The sequence below is a fragment of the Homo sapiens genome, chromosome X, assembly GCF_000001405.40.
Source record: "Homo sapiens chromosome X, GRCh38.p14 Primary Assembly".
NCBI lineage: Eukaryota > Metazoa > Chordata > Mammalia > Primates > Hominidae > Homo > Homo sapiens.
Window position 1 is genome coordinate 140,499,467 of NC_000023.11, and position 17,894 is coordinate 140,517,360.

Below are 17,894 nucleotides of genomic sequence, written 5' to 3' on the forward strand. Positions count from 1 at the left end.
ATTGGGCCCCTGCATTTAAGCGCCTTCTGGTTCCTCAGCGGCCCCAGCTCCCCGCAGCCCAGGCTGTTCAGCTTGGCTCCCAAGGAGGTCTTTTTCTCCAGTGAGTGGGTCTGAAGAATGACGGAGCCGCTCACTAATCTGATCCTGCTCCTGCTTACTGAGGAGGGGAATTGGCAGGGGGTTGCTCTGGTGTGCTTGTCCTGCTTGTGTTAACTGCAGGCCCCAACCTGGAGAAAAGCTAGAGGATTACTGCTCCTGGGGCTCCCTGCCCCCTCCCCATCCCAAAACAGCTGAAGGAAAGGCTTGAACTTTTCTCTTTCACAAGGAGACACAATTTTGTATTTGTGATAGGGAGAGAATATATTTTAAACCTGCCTTTTCTAGTGATAACAGGAATGCAATCCTATTAGAGAAAATTGGAAAGTATGAGAAGGATGACTAACCAGTATTCATAACACTACCCTGCATTTTTGCATGTTTCTCCAGTCGAATATACTTATTTTAAATAGTCAAGGTCATATACACTGAATATAGTTCTGTGTATCTTGCTGTTTATGCTTTGTGCTTTAAGCTTTTCCTTGTGTCATTAAAAATTTCTCTGTAAACGATTTTCATGTCTGCAAAGCAGACTTTTTAAAACATTTTACCTAACCTTTCTCCATTTGTTGGACATTTGGTCTGTTTGGAACTTTTTTGCATAAGAAGGGCTGTGATGAGTATCTTTGTTATAAATCTTTGGCTGCATTTTGGATGCGCTTCTTCAGCCCCAACCCTCACCCACTCCTAGATTTCTAGAAGGGGGATTAATGAAGGAAGTTGTATAGTCAGAAGATAGGAAAGCAAAACTCTACCTAGGGTAATTCCCACCAAAAAGTAGCTCTGCACCTATCATAGAAGCTAAAAAATGGACTAGCCATTTTCCCTCGGTAAGGACTTGATGCTTCCCACATCACATCATTCACGAAGAGGTGGCTAGTAGGAGTCTCTGTGTCAGGAATTGCCTTTCTCTAGAGGCCCCGCTGGATTATGGCTTTGAGGGGCAGCTGGGGCTGTGATTTCACTGGTTTATCTCTTGGTTTTGTGGCCGGCAGAGGAGAGAGTACCCTCCCAGGCCTGGGAGTGTGGTTCCACTGCGCCGCGGTAGAACCAGCTACGCAACCTTGAGCACCGTCATTTCCCCTTTTGGGGCCAGTTTCCTCCTATGTAAAACAAGGAAGAGGAGGGAGGAGGAATTGGAGTTTGACCAGATTTCATTATTGTTGCTGTTTAAGCAGCAGAACCCTTATTACAAATTAAACCTTATCAGAACCCCAATCTATAAAATGGATTAAGGTTCGGTTGCCCTGATAGACGTGAGTGGGGAGGAGTGGGGGAGGGGCCCCAGTTTGAAAACTCTGGCCTAGAAGATGAAAGTTTCATTCTAGTTCAGTTCCGTTCTCTTCCCTATTGCTGAAGGAAAGAAAAAAAAATCATTTTTCATCTGTATTTAAATCCTCCTAATGTGCTGATTGATGAAATCTTTTCCCTTAAGGGCAATTTGGAAATCAGACAAAGTGAAGCACAAAGCCATGGATGTTTAGAGAGAGAGTGAGCGGTATGTGAGACACACTGAAAGGGTGACCCTGGCACTTCTAAGAAGGCAGCAGCACAATGGACTCTTCGAAAGAAGCAGTGTCAGAGTTTATTCCCCTGTTGGCACCGCCTCCCACAGTGGGGGCGAATTGCTTGTTTTTACCCTCCCTTTCCTGGAGTCATTTCAGACCAAATTTGAGTCCACAATTGCTAGCAATTGGAAACCCAGAGTAACCTACGGACAGGTATTTTATTGAAGGCCAAACACGGTAAAAATATGGTGGGGGGATAGATGGGACAAAAGAGTTTCCTCTCGCCCCTGGGTTTTTGGAGCACCCGGGTTGAGGGGCCAGGGGAGATGAGGCTCACTGACCAGGCAGCTTGCAGGTTTGCTCCAATCACAGCAGCAAGGATTGAAGCACCAACCAGCCGGGAGGGGGGCGAGGTCTGTGGCCCTGGGATTGGGAGAAGGGGGAGTGGTACCAAGGCTAAGACTGAACCCGAACCCGAGCCTGGACGCGCGGCAGGACCAGGAGGAGGACTGGGTGGAGGGCAAAGCGTATGGGTCTGTAAATCAACGCCGGCCCCCTCCCACCCCATGCTGCACAGTGGGGGATGGAATGCGGGGGGTGAGGGTTGGCAGTGGAAATGTCTTAGGGGGCTGGTGCTGCCTTCCCAGGGAGACCCGACCTTTCTTGAAGAGGCGGAGTGGGTTTAGTCTCCAGGATCCGCAGTGATGTGTAAAAAGCGGGCACGACCCCCGAAGCCTCAGAAAGCCCCCTCCCCACCCCCCCACCAGGCCCTCCCCGGCCCGCAGGTGAATGACTGGCCCACACAAAGGAAGCCGGCTGGAAATGTGGAATTCGGACCAATTTACGGGAGACTCTGTCGCCTAGGGTCCCAGCGGACCTCAAGCAAAGAAACCTGTGGTCAGTAGTGGATGAGGATAAAAACAGTGCACCAGGCCAAGCTTATTGGAAAGGCTGAGTTTAGTTATTCTGGGATAGCGAGGTAACAGGATTAAAGGGATTAAGGAAATCACCTCAAACAGCTGAGGAGGGGGTAAAAAAACACTGGTTCTATTTGTTTTCTTCCTAGGCCCCAAACAGATACACTGGGGCCGTGTGGCTGGGCGCGAAACTAAAGGCCCTTCGGGGGGCACAGTGGAATGGCCAAGGGTCAGGGACTGGAGGAAAGTGGGGAGGGGGATGGAGTGGGGAGGGGGATGGAGTAGAAAGCGGGCTCGAGACTCTGGATGAAAAGGAGCCTTCTCTGGAAAACAAATAGGTGGACTGAGTTGACATGTTAAAAACAAAACGCCTGGGAGGAGTTTCGGAGATCTTTGAAAATCTAAGGAGTACTTTTTAATACCAAATCTTCCAGCGCTGAATGTTGACTCCGGCGGTTCAGCTACCAGGGTTGAAACGTATTTGTTTCCTGCTGGGGATCCCTGTAACCATTTATTTTTAATAGGATCATCGAGATTTCCGAAGGGTTTTCGTTTTGTAAATATTTCAGCTAGGCTCAAATGTCTTCCCGCCCCAGTGCACAAAGGTAAAAGTGCCCCGTTTTTGGTCGGTTTCAGCGGCCGCGCCTTTCCAGCCCCGCCTCGCGTGGCTGCGGCAGCAGACACTTTCAGCAGACGCTCACTGCGATCAACAAGTGCGCGGCCGCGGGCTCTGCGCATTAGCTACTACTGTGTGCCCGCTCTCGGGAGACGCTCCTGGAAGACTCGGAACTCTGTTCCGAGTTTCAGTTGAGAATATTGGAAGCTGGTGTATGGTGGATCACCAGTAGTTAAAAGGAAACCATTTCAGATTATGCTTGCCTCCCCCCAGGTCCCACCCCGCCCCTAGGATGGGATCTCAGTTGTAAAACCGAGTGTTGGTTCCTCCCCAACCTGCAAAAAAGTTTCAGGGCCGCAAAATTATCAGGACTCCATCATGTTGGTTATAAAATTTATTGATCTCATTTAGGAATTAAGAGTAAAAGCTTGAAAACCCTGAAACAAAGTAGCCCCTCCCCACTACCCAAACGAAATCTGAACACATTAGCGCGAAGAAATATCAAACAGATCACGGCAGAAATCACCAACTCAACATGATTGGACAGAAGCTGTCCCGCGGCCAGGGGCGGCGAGGCGGGAGACACACGCACACCTGGCTATAAATTAACATTGGCTTTAGCTGCCGCGCTGCTTGGAGCGGTCAGCGCCCCAAAAAACCACGAGGAAAACAGACGCGACACGACTGGGGGCGTAGGCGTTGCAGTTCTCCAGCTGGCCTCACCCGATACTATGTTTCTCCCATTCACTCCTTGGCTAACTGCAAACTAACAAGACAACATTTTCAAATGTAACAGAATAACCCTGGAACTCAGGAGGAGGAGTGGGGGCTGTTTTTTCTTTGCAAATAACACAGCGATTCCCAGCCTACAAAGGTGAAAGGAGCAGCGGCGTGGGGCAAGAGAGCTCTCTAGAAGTCCCATTTTCGCTGCTCCTGACTTATTTTTGCTTTTGTACAAAACCCGACAGCTACAGCAAAACTTTCAGCCCTCCCCATCATCGGTACAAGGCAACAGTCCCAGGCAAGCAAAGCTAAACAAGGCGTCCCAACTTGGGGGTGCGGGGCGGGAGTGGGGGTGGGGGTGGGGAACAAGGGTGGACGAGCGCAGGCCGGTGCTCAGATGTGGGTCAGCGGCACCGTTCCGTTGACTGCAGTCCCGGCGCCCTGGTAGTGCTGGTGCACGCCGTGCAGGCGACCGCCGGGCAGCGGAGAGGCGGCGTCGGCCGCGTCCCCGCCGGGTGGCAGGTACATGCTGATCATGTCGCGCAGGTCGCCGAGGCACGCGCGCTGAGAGTGCGATGCGATGGCGGGCGGCGGCGAGCTGGGCTCAGACTTCACTACCGAGCCCATGGGGCCCAGGCTCATGGCGGCTGCGGCCGCAGCTGCGGCCGCGGCGGTGGCGGGCTGCTGCCCGTAGGCGGCGGCCGCGGCTGCTGTGGCTGAGGGCGCCATGCCCCCGTAGCCCGAGGCGGCGGCGGCCGCGGCAGCGACGTTCATGTAGCTCTGAGCGCCGGGCGGCATCATTGGGCTGTACTGCAGGCCGGCCATGTCGTAGCGGTGCATCGGCGGCAGCGCGGGCGGCGGCGGCGGGCTGCTCATGCTCGGGGGCTGCGCGTAGCCCAGCTGCTCCTGCACCAGCGAGTACGCGCCGTTGGCCCAGCCGTTCACGTGCGTGTACGTGTCCAGGCGCTGGCCCACGCCCACCGGACTGCTGGCGGCAGCGGCTGCGGCCGCGGCAGCGGCGGCGGCGGCCGCGGCACCGGGAGGCAGGAGGCCGCTGGGCAGGGAGTACTTATCTTTCTTGAGCAGCGTCTTGGTCTTGCGGCGCGGTCGGTACTTGTAGTCCGGATACTCCTTCATGTGCACGGCGCGAAGTCGCTTGGCCTCGTCGATGAATGGTCGCTTCTCGGCGTCGGTCAGCAGTTTCCAGTCGGCGCCCAAGCGCTTGCTGATCTCAGAATTGTGCATCTTGGGGTTCTCCAGGGCCATTTTGCGCCGCTGCCCGCGGGACCATACCATGAAGGCGTTCATGGGCCGTTTCACACGGTCCTGGTCTGTACCCCCGCCACCTCCGCTCGCACCACCGCTGCTGCCGCCGCCCGAGTTCGCGCCGCCGGCTGCGTTCGCACTACTCTTGCCTGCGCCTCCCGGGGCTGCGGGGCCGCCGGTGCCCGCCGCTTGTGTGGGTGTCCCTACGGGGTTCTTGAGTTCAGTCTCCAGAAGGCTGTACATTGCCGGGGCGGGAAGAAGGTGCGCCAGCGTGGCGGGAGGAGAAGGCGCTCCCGGGGCTGGAGCGGCCACGGTGAAAAGGCCCTGGGACTCCGTCGGAGCGGAGCTTGGGGGCCTGTGGGCCAGCGAGTCCGGCGGGAAGGGTAGGCTTATCAAAATGCTCCGCGCCAAATCAGCAGGAACCCGCGGGCTTCTCGCACCTGATGAGTTCTCTCGAACAGGTCGCATTCACAGTCTGCCTGGGCTCTAGCTGGGCCCCTTATATACCTGCTCGGATTCCCCGGGGTTGGGGCTTGGTCCGCCCCTCGCAACCCGGAGGACCCGTGATTGACAGGTTCGCAGTGATGCGCCCTGGCCAATCATTACCGAGCCCCCGTTCGGCCTGGCTGGAAAAAAAAAAGTTCGGGGAGCCCTTTCGTTCACCCCACGCCCCTCTTTGGCCTAGTGACGTGGTAAGAGTTACTTAGGAGGCGGGAGTCCACGAGGCCCACTCAGAGGCCACCAATTAGGGTTTCAAAAAGTTTGAAAGAACGAAACCTGAGGAGGTGACGGGGGGAGGGGGGAGGGGGCACGCAAGCAGATTGGGGGGAGGGGGCAGAGGGGCGCCTTCGGAATTTAGAAAACAACTTTGCAACCCTGTCAAGGCAGACCGGCGCCCCATCCCCCGGCCAGCCCGCAAAGCTTCCCGTTGTCTGCACGGAGGTTTTCTGGCCGCTTCTGCTGCCAGCGCTAGGAACGCAGGGCACCACCAGCTACCCAGGCCGGCTTAGGGACTCCAGGCTCATTGGAAGTGCTCCTGGCTGCGTCTCCAAGAAGCTCTCCCTGGAATTGGCCGCTGGTTGTCCAGATCTTTCTCTAGGAGGGCCAGTGCGTCCAGGACGCAGCGTGGGTCAGGGGCCCGGGCATGGGAGACAGGCTTCAGGACTGCGGGGTGCATTCGGCTGTGAGGCTCTTGGGGGTTTGCAGGAGGGCGGGCAAGCAGTCAGTCGCCCGTCTCCTGAGCCTGTCGGAGGCGCTCGCACAAGGTGGTGTGGAAAGTATGTGTGGGACGTAGGGGGTGAACTGGCCTCCGCTCTCTCGATCCTGGCCCCCGCTTAGCGGCCCCTTTTTGTCTCTGCTCTGTGGCCATTTCGGTTTTTCCAGTCCGATGCCCCTGAGGGGGAGGGTCGGGCCCCTTGGAAAATCCGTTTTCATGGCAACACGGAGCCTCTCAGAGTGAAAGAAAAGTTTCTTGGAGGGGGGAACGTTGGCCGGAGCGGAGCCGAGGCCGTCCTCCGGGCGAACCGCCGGGCCCCCTCCACTGCCCCCGCACCTGCCGGGACCGCTGAGCGCTACTCTGGGCGCGCAGCCTCGCCGCCTCCCCCGGGAGCAGGCTCTGCTAACGGATTCCGTCCGTCTCTTTTATTGTTTTAGAGACTTCCTGAGATTCGGAGCGGGACATTCACTTGCTTGTTGGGTTATCTGCCAAAGACTAGCGGCGCGGGAACTCTGGCTGCGGGGAGAGGAAACCCCGATAATCGCCACTGCCAGCTGAAGCGAGTGGCACAGCGTTTGAAACTCTCGGAGCAGCCCGAGGTAGCGAGTGGGAATGAGAAGCCATCCCGGCAGATTTGGCAGAAACTAAAATAAGGTGTCCATACGGTGTGGGGTCTCGCCCCCCCATCATCCCTAGCCCCGTGGAAAGGTGGGGAACTAAACGGAAAGCATAATCTTAAGTGGGTGGGGGGCGCATGGGGGAATCCCAGGTTTCTAGCGTCTTAGCGTTAATGCAAGACCAGGCGATCCCGGGACTTCTGCATGCTGGGCTCTTCCCCCTTTCTCTCCACGAATTAAAAAGTACGCCTCTTCGGCTTGTTAGTGGGGTCAGGGGGGGAGTGGAGGCTCAGGGCAGGCCAGCCCCCTCTCGGCCAGGCGGACCTCTGGCAAAAGAATCCCGGCTCCCAGTCGGCATCATCTCTCGGAAGTTTGGGGTCTGGAAACTTGCCCCTTAAGTTTGTGTTCCACTTGATCTGAGTATTCTGCAGCCAAGGGCTGCAGTCAACTGGATGGGTATACGGATTTAGGGTTTTAAATGTAAGTAAACTCTCTGGAAGGCTTCTGTGTGTAGATACAGTGTGTGTGTGTGTGTGTGTGTGTGTGTGTGTGTGCGCGCGCGCGCGCGCGCGCGTAGCGAACGTGAGCTGATAAGTACGTCTCAGAAAACATAATGATTAGGCAATCCCTACCTGCACCTGTTTTCTTGGCGAAGTGGCCGACAAGGTCAAACTTTCTTAGGCAAATCCATCCTCTCCTACAGAAGCCAATGTGCAATATCTCTGCCCTCCTGCCGTCTTTCCCGCATGCCCTCTCTGGGCTTTTCTGGGCCCTGGAGGCTGTTGCTAAGTGAAGCGCGTTTTAGGAAACTACCCAACCGACGCGCGGCCTGGCGTCCAGTAGCTTCACAGATGTCAGGTTTCTTTCCAAGTTTTAGGACCCAAGTAAACGTTGCAGTGACAGCGCCTGGGCTGCATATTTCCCAAGGCAGGGGATACGGTGCTGGGCCGACACCCTCCCCGCAGCAGATTACCAGGGGAAACTAGTCACTGCTCCCAGCTGTCTGACATTTGATCACACTTAGCCCGAGGCTTAGGTGAGCTCATTTTTGCCCTACATCCTCCTGCCAGATTTACAGCAGTCTTTTGCCAGGACCAGGCACACTCTCCCAATTCTCCCGGCTTCTCGCTGAGGCCAGCTCCCTCTCGGGGGGTAGATACATAAAATCTCCGTATCTGGTGGTTCTGGGGTGATCTGCACATTCTCAAGTAAGAGCCACGCCAGATTTCCTTGGAAACTCTTGCCAGGACACTTTCTAAATACAAGCTATCATTTCAATAGACAAGCAAGGTTACCATTGCGGGCGTGGGGAGATGGGGGAAGGCTGGAAATAAATCAGTTCTTAGCCCACCTGCAGCGCAGGCTTAGCCACCAGCCCAGCGGCGCAACCTTCGCTAAGGGTCGGGAGAGGTGTCGCGACAGGTACCACAGCGCAGGAGGCCTCGGTTCCGGCTGGGGCTGCGGGAAGGCAGGGCAGCTGGCGGAGCCCCAACTCCAGTGTCTCCGACGCGCACCCTGCACCCAGCGAGGAAAGCAGAGGAACGCAGTGGGAACCAGGACCGATCCTTCAACCTCTTCAGGAGAAGAGAGCGCGCTCAGCAGCTCTCTCGCCCTCTCCAGCCTCCAAGTGCCCTTGGGCGGTTCACAGAGCTCCGGATCTGGCGCTGGGAACCCGACCAAGGCCTCCTCCCCATTCCCCCGCCCTTCCTAGAGAGCTCCCGCTCCCTCCGACTGGAGCCAGCCCTGGGGCTCCCAGAACCCAGGGCGCGACAATAGCGCCGTTTGTTGGCTTCGGTTGGAAACTTCACCCAGCGTAGCCTCTTGCCGCTTCGCCCTGCGGGGCTTGGAGGTCGCCCCAACCTTCGAAAGAGACCAAGCGGATTTGCGGCGGAGCAGATGTGATGCCTATCCTTAGAGGGCGGGTTATAGCAAAACTCCGGGACCAAGACTCTAGCGTGACTGGCCCAATGGGCTTTGGGTACATAGGGCACCCCTGCTCTGCCTTCTTCCTATTTCTAGGCTTGGCCGACATCAGGTGTCCCAAGTGCCTTATATCTGCAAAGAACACTCAGCAATTGTGCCTTAGAGCTACTGGTGGAAAGAGCAGGAAAGGAGCTGTCCCACGACTCGCGCGGAGGTATCTGCATTGATTCCTCTTCAGTAACTGCTCATAGGGGACCTTTTTCAAGGTCCCTGGCATGATTAGGACCCAACTTATTAGAAGAGGTGCCCTCAGCCGGGCGCGGTGGCTCAAGCCTGTAATACCAGCACTTTGGGAGGCCGAGGCGGGTGGATTACCTAAGGTCAGGAGCTCGAGACCAGACTGGCCTACATGGCGAAACCCCGTCTCTACTAAAAGTACAAAAATTAGCCTGGCTTGGTGGCGTGCGCCTGTAATCCCAGCTACTCAGGAGGCTGAGGCAGGAGAATCCCTTGAACCCGGGAGGCGGAGGTTGCAGTGAGCCGAGATTGCGCCACTGCACTCCAGCCAGGGCGACAAGAGCGAGAGACTCCGTCTCAAAAAAAAAAAAAAAAAAGAAAAGAAAAGAAGGAGAAGAAGAAGAAGGGTGTCCTCTGCGTGCTGGGTGGTTTGGGGCCGATGTGTGTCTGTGTCGCTTGGGGGACGGAGAGTCGGAGAGTGGGGTGGGGTGGGCGGTATTTGGGCTCGCCTGGGCCCGCTGAAGCCTGACAATAGGGTCAGCAAAGGTTGCCCTCCGGCTGTGGCCTAGCGTTCGCCTTTCAGGTTTCTCAAGTGTAGCCAAGCCCAGCTCGGGGTCTGGCTTTTAGGAAGTGAGAACAACTTATCCTGGGGACTCTCGGAGACGCCTTGATTTTCAACAGACAAACAAAACCAAAAACAAACCCGCAACAGTTTGCGTTTCTTAAAGCAGTCATTTCTATCTTTTCCCTTGAGAACACCCCTTGTCTGTTTACTCTGGCTTCTAGCCAAGATTGTGTATTTAGGCCGCTGATCGAGAGCCTTGATCAAAAAATCATAGGCTTAGGTCTATTGTAGAACCATCCCTTGTAAAAAAAAAAAAAAAAAAAGGTCAGAAAGGTCACCATCATTTCAACGGGGTGGTAGAGACAGCACCTTCCAGTTCCTGGAGCATTCAGTAGGAACCCCAGCCCCACTCCGCCAACGCGTAGCACCGTCTCCAGCGGAAGTACTCTTTCTTACAGGTCACAGAAGCAGCTGAAGACCCTAGGCTGGTGGGTGTAGATTGTAATAACTTAGTCGATGGTCTCTAAAGAAAGGTTGCTAGGAGCTGCGAGGTATGGGAAAACAAGGTCCTCGAGGTACCATAAAGTCTCCTGCGGGCTGTACAACTGTATTCTATCGTAGTTTGGTGTTGCTCTTTTTTGGGAGGGTGCGGGGGTACTTTTAAAAAAGTTTCCGCATTCAATTCACTTGGTTGGCTGAGCTGTACTTGGAAAATACACTGGGAGTCCCCTCGGCCCACACGTTGGCGCTCAGTTTCCTTCCACCCACAGAGTATTCAGGTGTTAATCACCAGCTCTCTTTTCCCTATGTGCGCAGCAACTCCAAGGAATTTGACAACCTTTGCCTTCTGCTTTTACTCGCTGACCTCACCACCCGAAAGTTGCCATTTTCCCGGAGGAAGGAAGGCTCTGCCCATGCACTGGGTCCCATTTCCAGCGGGCTTTGCTGAGCCATCGCTGTCAGCCTCTTTGCCTCTCACCCCCCTCCTACACCCGTCTTTGCCCATCCCCACAACTCTCCTCACGCGCTCAGCTCCGCAGACTGCCAAACCCCCACCCCTGCGGAGCAACTCGGGGAACTCGGCCCCCTACGTCCAGGCCTGCCCTCCCACTGGGCCTGTTGCCCTTTCCACTTCCTTTTGTGACTGCAGAGGCACAGCGCTCACCTGTACAGAGGCGAGGTGACCTGCAGGAAGCCGGGGCCAATAAAGTAATCTTAAAATCGTTATCAGTATGCAATGCTGTTTGAGTTTTTCCATGTCTCCACAATTCCATTCGGGTCCACCAGGCAAGGCAGCGCTTCTCGGGAAAGGGTGCCTGGAAAATCAGTGGACCTCCAGGCACTTCCAGCGTGACCAAGCAAAGCTATCGCCCCAACCACAGGGGGCGCAGGATGGCAGGGGGTTGGGTAGAGCATCCTGGAGAAAATTTTAAATTCGAAGGCAGCACTCAGCGGTTCCTTTTCCACTCTTTTATTTATTTCTTTGTTTTTCTTTTTATTTATCATTTTCTTTTAAGAGAGTGGAAAGCCGTGGAATTTGGTGCGCAGAATTTCTATGTTCTCTTTTCATCTCTTCAACGCCCTCATTTTTTTTTTTTTTTTTTCATTTCACTAACCTTTGTCATCCACCTGCTATGTGCTGAGTTGTGCACCAAGTACGGGACGGAGACCCTGCACTTTCCCATTCCGTATCAGATAGTGGCAATGGCTTGGGAAAGTCTCAAGAGGACTCCGGATTCGGAGAGAAAGAAATTTTCGCCTGATGCTACCCCATCCCCCTAGTTGATCTACGGAGAAATCGGGCCTCGCGAGAAGCGCAACATCTTGGACAAGGACCTGGCGTGAGCGGGGTCGCTACGCCCCGACCTGCAGGGGCCACGCTCATTCCCCAGCGCGCGCGCGCTTTCCCACGGCGGCGCAGAGTCCAGCTAGCGGAGAGGCGGAGGGGGAAGCGCCCGCGTGCCTGGAGCCCTGGCGGTCCAGCGTCCCGGCGTTGCCGTCTGAGTGGCCTAAAAGGGAGGCTCTGGGGCCGCTGCTCGCGACGGAGAGCGGGGACGCGGCCCAGGAACAGCTAACGTGCCGCTTGCTGCTTGCCAGGTATGGAGGATGCCTATCCTCAGGCAGACCCGTTTCCCCGCGGGCTGGCGGCCAGACGGCGCGACAAAATGAGATCTGTCGAGAGGTCTGGCCGTGATGGCTTTTTGGCGTCTAGGCCGCTGTCATCCCAATTCCATTTCTCCGAAAAGCATCGCCGAGTTAGGACGTCGGGGCTTTGCTAATGTGATGTTTGTGTAATTAACACCATCTCCCCTTGTTTCTGAACATATTTCCTCCCGCAGCACAGACCAGCTTTCATTTGAAAAAGCAACGGGAAGAACGTCCCAATAACCCTTTCTAATGGGAAAAAACTGCCCCTTTTGTGGAATGGTTTCTTTACAAAGCCAACAACCAACCTTATTTTCTAGTTCCAATGGCTATCCCTTTATGAGTTATATTATTAAAGAAATCCGACACTAATTGTGCCGATTTAACTTGTTAATTAGTTGCAAATAAACTATTCATTAGTGGTAAAATAAAATAAAACCCATGTGTCTAGATATCATTCCACATTCACATATTGTAGTGTCTGCATAACATAGGCATACTAAATTAAGTTCCTAAAAGGTTTCTCCTCAGGATAAATAATTAAAATATATTCTACTTTAATTGACATTATAGAGGACATAAATGAGCTTTTCCTTTTAGAAAGAAATAGCCATTTCTAAATAAAGCTTGCAGTCTGGAGAATGGAGGCTTCAGCCAAATGAATAGTCATTACTACCTTTTCAACGACGTGGGCCTTTTGATCAGAAAAGAAATTAGCTCTAAAAAACAGACAATGGAAGCCTGCCCTGCAATAGGAAGAAAATTAGACGGCCAAGGCTCTTCACAACACCTATTTCTATAAACCATAGAGCTCCTTGCTTTTCAATTACAGCTGTTCATTTCATATAAGGAAAGGGGAAAAACAGGCCTCTAATGTAAACTCGCTTTCACCATAAAGCCTTGTTCCTGGCTCACAGCCAGGCTGCCTACTTACTATTGTTTTTAGTCCTGTCATCAATTAGCTAATACTATATATTTTAAATGACTCTGGGGGTATTCACAGACTCCCTCCCCACTTCCCCACTCAGACAAAACCCAAGCTGGACTTTCATGAAAGGACTACCATTCGGTACACAGACACTTATATACATAAAGTTTAATGTTTTTATTGTTTCCAAAAAAAAAAAAAAACCATATTGAAAACCCTGCTTTGTTTTTTTTTCTATATTTCTCAGTCCATCATTGAAAGACCCAGACGAGATGATGACAGAGGGACATAAATGAGCAGCTTTCAGTATTGTTTCTAATTGTTCACAGAGCTCAATCCATCTCTAGATAATTTTGCTATGCCCTTTAGACCATAATTTGGTTTGTACATCTTTGTGTTTTAAAAATAAAATTTTTGAAATTTGCTAACCCCATTGGTTTGGTGTCATTAGATATAATTTCATTTTAGAAATATTAATTCTTTACCATTTTGGTGAAATTATCTAGCCTGCAAGAAAAAAAATTATGTTTTTATGGTGTGCTACAAAATAAAACCTTTCAATACACATAAAGTAATAATATGAGAAAAAAATTCAGTAATAATAGCAGTGAGTCTTAGTAAGCCTGTAGATATATGTTCTAGAAACATCAAAATAGAGTTATAGGCTGGGAAGGCTTTACTTCCTTTGAAAGTAAAATGCTTATCTATCTGATCTTTATAAATCACTGTATAAATTCCTTGAATAACTAAACAATAGTGCAATTCAATGGGGTTGGTTGGCGATTTTCCTGTTTAGGGTTGTGCTAATAAAATTGCTTAGAATCTTTTTAAAATACAGTTAAGGATAATTGATTTGTTCACAAAACAAAGAACATTTTAACAAAACTATAAATTCACTTAAACCAAATAACATAATAACCATGGACGGGTCCCTGAGAGGTGTCATTCCCTTGATGCTTTAAATAAAGTTAAACAGAGGTAGATGGCCAGTTTAGAAAGGATGGACGGAGTAGAGCCACTAGGATGACTATTCAAAGTATGCATTTCTGAAGAACAATGACAAAAAAGTTGCTACCAAAATGCTTCTTATGGGCCAGATGTGGTGGCCCACATCTGTAATCCTAGCACTTTGGGAGACTGAAATGTGAGGATTGCTTGAGGCTAGGGGTTCAAGACCAGCCTATGCAACATGGTGAGACCCCGTCTCTACAAAAAATAAATTTAGCCAGGCATGGTGGCATGCGCATGTAGTCCCAGCTACTCACGAAGCTGAGGTAGGAGGATTGCTTGAGCCCAGGAGGTCGAGGCTGCAGTGAGCCATGATCATGTCACTGCACTCCAGCCTGGGTGACAGAGCGACACTGTCTCAACAAAACAAAACAAAATGAAACAAAAATACTTCGTATGCTCCTGTATTCAGCATGTATTTCTTGTTGAAAATTGATGCTTCCATTTGATGGCTTCTTGTCACATTTTTATCAAAAATATGGATGAATTGGTATGTTTGCTTTTTGCTTTTGAGCATTAACTTCTTTGTTGCTTTGTTCAAATGGATGTCAGAGTGGAGTTCTTAAAAGCATTTTGCCAAAGAGTATGACATTGCCATATCTGATTTCCTTGGCAACTGGAAGAAGGTGCTTTTCCTTGGCAATCAAGTCCCTTGACTCTTCCTACCCTTGGGTTCCTATAATAAAGGGCATCATCTTACCAGTATGCAAGGGTGAGACGGTCCCTCTTGTCTATTGCATTATGATGGTGCCTGCTTTCACAGAGAATTCTGCAGGAGCCAGAGGAAAACTGCCACGTTCCCAAGGTGAAGTTTAGTGGTAGGAGTTAGCAATGTGTGGTTGCTAATCAGTAGCCTGGAAGTTGTCCAGACTGAGAGCTATGCGAGTATTTTGGTGAGTCTGATCTTATGTACTATAGCACTTGGTTTTCTTTTTGGAAAGAGGTATCAATATGTGATGTTGTGGTCAACCGAGAAGGAGTTTGAGGGAGTCCCAAAACTGCTGTCAAAGAAAACTGAAGCTTTAACTGCAGCTTTGGAAGGGGACAACATATGTAGCAGAACTATTTCTCAGGATGCTGACGTAAAATAGAGCCTGGGTGTTTCCTTGTTTTAAAATTAAGGAAACGAAGGGATCCTAATGCTTGAGAAGAAATCCCCCAGGGCAGAATCCTTGTACAGAAGCCTTGAATTGCGCCAGTCGATTTTTGTTAGATCTTGGTGAATAAGAGCACAGGCTCAAGGGTCACATGGACATAAGTAAGCAAGGTCAATAAAAATGTGTCACACTTACATTCTAGGGGAAGACGGGAACAATAAACATAAACAAATGAATAAAGAGAATTAGTGAGTGTCTGGAAGTAATAAGTGCTAGGAAGACAAAGTAGGATATGGGTCTAGAGTGTGATGGGAGTTGATGTTTTAAATAGAATGTTCAGGAAATGCCTCTTTGGGAGGTGATGCATGTGCCAAAATCTGAAGTGAGTAAGCACTCAAATAATGCCATTCATCATCATCATCATCATCATCATCATCATCATCATCATCATGACCATCACCACCACCATTACCACTGGCTGGCAGTGATTTGTAATCTCCAACCCAGCCCTAAAACTCTAAGATTGTAGGAAGAAGAGGGTGAATTTCCAGACCAGGGCTGGGATAAGCCGGGCACCTAGGGCACACAATTTAGGGAAGTACCTGCTCTTAAGGTTATACAAATGCAACCCTGAATTAAATCAATTATCTTCTTATTAATGTAGTAAAGTTGTCTGTGCTTTAACTGTTAGAAGACAACAGAACTTAGGGACTGAATGTGTCAAGACACTCCTTGATTTTCTAGCAATCAGAGACCAGGACAGTTATTTGCTTGGGTTTTGATTAGGATGATTTTTATTTATTTATTTATTTATTTATTTTTTTTGTAGACACAGGATTTCCCTCTTTCACCCAGGCTGCTGTGACATGATCACAGCTCACTGCAGGCCCGTGGCACCATGTCCAACTGTTTAAAAACTTTTTTTTTTTTGTAGAGACAGTCTCGCTATGTTGCCCAGGCTGGTCTTGAACTCCTGGCCTCAAGTGATCCTCCTGCCTTGGCTTCTCAAAGTGCTGGGTTTATAGGCATGAACCAACGTGCCCAGCCAGTTGGGGCTTTTGCACGACTGGGAGTGTGCCTCCTTAAATTTTGTGTCCTAGGTGCCTGTCTTGCCTCACATTAGTCCTGGCCCTGCTCTAGACTGGCATTTAGTAGCTTCTATGAAATTTCTAAGGGTCAAGATTCAGGTCTTAGTTTAGCTCTCTCCCCTTAATACCAAATTGCTTACCACTGAGTATGGTTTTTCACTTTAGAGTAGTGTGGTGTGGTAGGAAAAACAAATACAATGGGATTGGTCTGGTAAACCTGAATTTGAACTTGAATTTGAGCATTTACCATCTGTATGATTTGAGCAAGTTTGCAAATCTTCCTGAACCTCAGTTTTGTCATCTGATGGAGTTGGGTAGTCAGGCCTTCTTCACTGAATTAGGGTGAGGATTCAACAAGATGATACAGCTGAAAGCACCTGGTACTCTGCTTCATACAGAGCCAGCTTAATAAGAGTTGTTGTCTTGTTTTTCAACTACGCTTTCTTTTATCCCAAACAGGATTGAACATTCCTCCAGTATGGACAAGAGGGAACCATGTTTCACTTTCTTATACCCCTTACAGGGCTATGCACAGATGTTTGTGGAATGAATCATAGTATTTAAGTAAGTCGCCTTTGAATGGAAGAAAAAAAATGAATTAATTACTCCATGGTTCCAATTCTGCATTGCAGTCTCCCACATTCGACAGAGTCACTTGAGATTGTTTCTGTCAAAGCTCTCTGGAGAGCACTCACTGAGATGATGGGGGTTTTCATTTGTGACAGAGAGGCCTCTTGTGTTTAATTCTGAGATAACATAAAATACCTTTTATAATAGACACATGCCTGCTGTTAAAAATGTACAATTAATTAGTGTCATACATATTTTAAATCCTTTTTTTTGCTTAAAATATAAGGTTTAATTTTTTTTACTTTCAGAGATCAGTAGAAATATGTTCTTTCTATAGATTACTTCAGGAATCCTGCTGAATTAGGAAAGAAGTCTTGTTCCAATTTTATAGCTTTTATATTTTCTCTGAGGCCTCAGAAGTAGGCACAACTGACCAAGTGGAATAATAATAAAAAAAAAAAAAGTAATTCTAATCACCAGCACAAAGTCTTATCATTCCTCACAGTGGCTGCTGAAGAGAATTACAAAAATTAGCCAGGCGCAGTGGCTCACACCTGTAATCCCAGCACTTTGGGAGGCCGAGGAGGGTGGAACGCTTGAGCTCAGGAGTTCAAGACCAGCCTGGGCAACATGGCAAAGCCCTGTCTCTCCAAAAAAAAAAATTTCAAAAATTAGCCAGGCGTGGTAGCTTGAGCCATTAGTCCCAGTTACTTGGTAGGCTGAGGTAAGAGGTTCACTTGAACCCAGGAGGCAGGCAGAGGTTGCAGCAAGCTGTCTTCCTGCCATGACACTTCAGCCTGGATGACAGAGCAAGGCCCTGCTTCAAAAATAAGAAATAAAAGAGAATTATATAAATTATTTTAAATAAATAAATTAGAGACACTTTAGTTCTTATTAAAAAGAATCCTGACCGGGTACGGTGGCTCACGCCTGTAATCTCAGCACTTTGGGAGGCTCAGGCGAGTATATTGCCTGAGGTCAGAATTACCTGGTTGTAGTCCCAATCACCTGGGAGTTTGAGATGGGAGGATCCCTTGAGCTGGGGAAGTAGAGGCTGCAGTGAGCTATAATTGCACCACTGCACTCCAACCTTGGTGACAGAGCGAGACCTCATCTCAAAAGAAAACAAAAAGAAATAAATGAGATTATATAAACAAAGTATTGAATCAGTGCCTGATACCTAGTCATAGGACTCAGTAAATGTTAGGTTATCGTCATCACAGCAACCTTGTGAGCTATGTAGCACAGATAGGGCAAACTTATTTATATTTTAACAAATAAGTAAACAGGTTCAAAAGGATTAAGTGACTGTCTAAAAGGGTGGAGCTTGTTATTGGCAAAATCAGGCATGGAAAGGACACTTCTTGACACTGT

General features: G+C 50.1%; 1 protein-coding gene across 1 annotated transcript, besides 16 other annotated features; it reads right to left on the minus strand.

The window, feature by feature from the left end:
• Positions 3,519-5,603, minus strand: SOX3 (SRY-box transcription factor 3). The gene has a single exon (NM_005634.3). The coding sequence runs from the start codon at positions 5,592-5,594 to the stop codon at positions 4,254-4,256; it is 1,341 nt and encodes a 446-aa protein (NP_005625.2). The 5' UTR covers positions 5,595-5,603; the 3' UTR covers positions 3,519-4,253.
• Positions 5,336-6,044: a promoter, noted in NCBI's record as "F19R30 amplicon spanning -427 to +286". NCBI's record gives the evidence for it as "EXISTENCE:reporter gene assay evidence [ECO:0000049][PMID:15656994]".
• Positions 5,555-5,841: a promoter, noted in NCBI's record as "F17R24 amplicon spanning -219 to +67". NCBI's record gives its function as "core promoter" and the evidence as "EXISTENCE:reporter gene assay evidence [ECO:0000049][PMID:15656994]".
• Positions 5,658-5,684: a protein binding site, noted in NCBI's record as "-63 SP1 site". NCBI's record gives its function as "positive regulation of transcription" and the evidence as "EXISTENCE:protein binding evidence [ECO:0000024][PMID:15656994]".
• Positions 5,674-5,692: a protein binding site, noted in NCBI's record as "F35R35". NCBI's record gives the evidence for it as "EXISTENCE:protein binding evidence [ECO:0000024][PMID:18786169]".
• Positions 5,674-5,704: a response element, noted in NCBI's record as "F31R31". NCBI's record gives its function as "mediates induction by retinoid X receptor" and the evidence as "EXISTENCE:reporter gene assay evidence [ECO:0000049][PMID:18786169]".
• Positions 5,674-5,704: a protein binding site, noted in NCBI's record as "F31R31". NCBI's record gives its function as "positive regulation of transcription" and the evidence as "EXISTENCE:protein binding evidence [ECO:0000024][PMID:19799567]".
• Positions 5,674-5,704: a protein binding site, noted in NCBI's record as "F31R31". NCBI's record gives its function as "positive regulation of transcription" and the evidence as "EXISTENCE:protein binding evidence [ECO:0000024][PMID:19799567]".
• Positions 5,674-5,704: a protein binding site, noted in NCBI's record as "-83 USF1 site". NCBI's record gives its function as "positive regulation of transcription" and the evidence as "EXISTENCE:protein binding evidence [ECO:0000024][PMID:15656994]".
• Positions 5,713-5,914: a response element, noted in NCBI's record as "F18R14 amplicon spanning -293 to -92". NCBI's record gives its function as "mediates induction by retinoid X receptor" and the evidence as "EXISTENCE:reporter gene assay evidence [ECO:0000049][PMID:17005281]".
• Positions 5,714-5,734: a protein binding site, noted in NCBI's record as "-113 NF-Y site; also known as NF-YA site N3". NCBI's record gives its function as "positive regulation of transcription" and the evidence as "EXISTENCE:protein binding evidence [ECO:0000024][PMID:15656994, PMID:17910945]".
• Positions 5,776-5,803: a protein binding site, noted in NCBI's record as "RXRalpha footprint B". NCBI's record gives the evidence for it as "EXISTENCE:protein binding evidence [ECO:0000024][PMID:17005281]".
• Positions 5,798-5,829: a protein binding site, noted in NCBI's record as "F3R3 CRE". NCBI's record gives its function as "positive regulation of transcription" and the evidence as "EXISTENCE:protein binding evidence [ECO:0000024][PMID:24257117]".
• Positions 5,840-5,874: a protein binding site, noted in NCBI's record as "RXRalpha footprint A". NCBI's record gives the evidence for it as "EXISTENCE:protein binding evidence [ECO:0000024][PMID:17005281]".
• Positions 5,848-5,875: a protein binding site, noted in NCBI's record as "NF-YA site N2". NCBI's record gives the evidence for it as "EXISTENCE:protein binding evidence [ECO:0000024][PMID:17910945]".
• Positions 5,929-5,958: a protein binding site, noted in NCBI's record as "NF-YA site N1". NCBI's record gives its function as "positive regulation of transcription" and the evidence as "EXISTENCE:protein binding evidence [ECO:0000024][PMID:17910945]".
• Positions 5,990-6,021: a protein binding site, noted in NCBI's record as "TGIF site". NCBI's record gives its function as "negative regulation of transcription" and the evidence as "EXISTENCE:protein binding evidence [ECO:0000024][PMID:22293114]".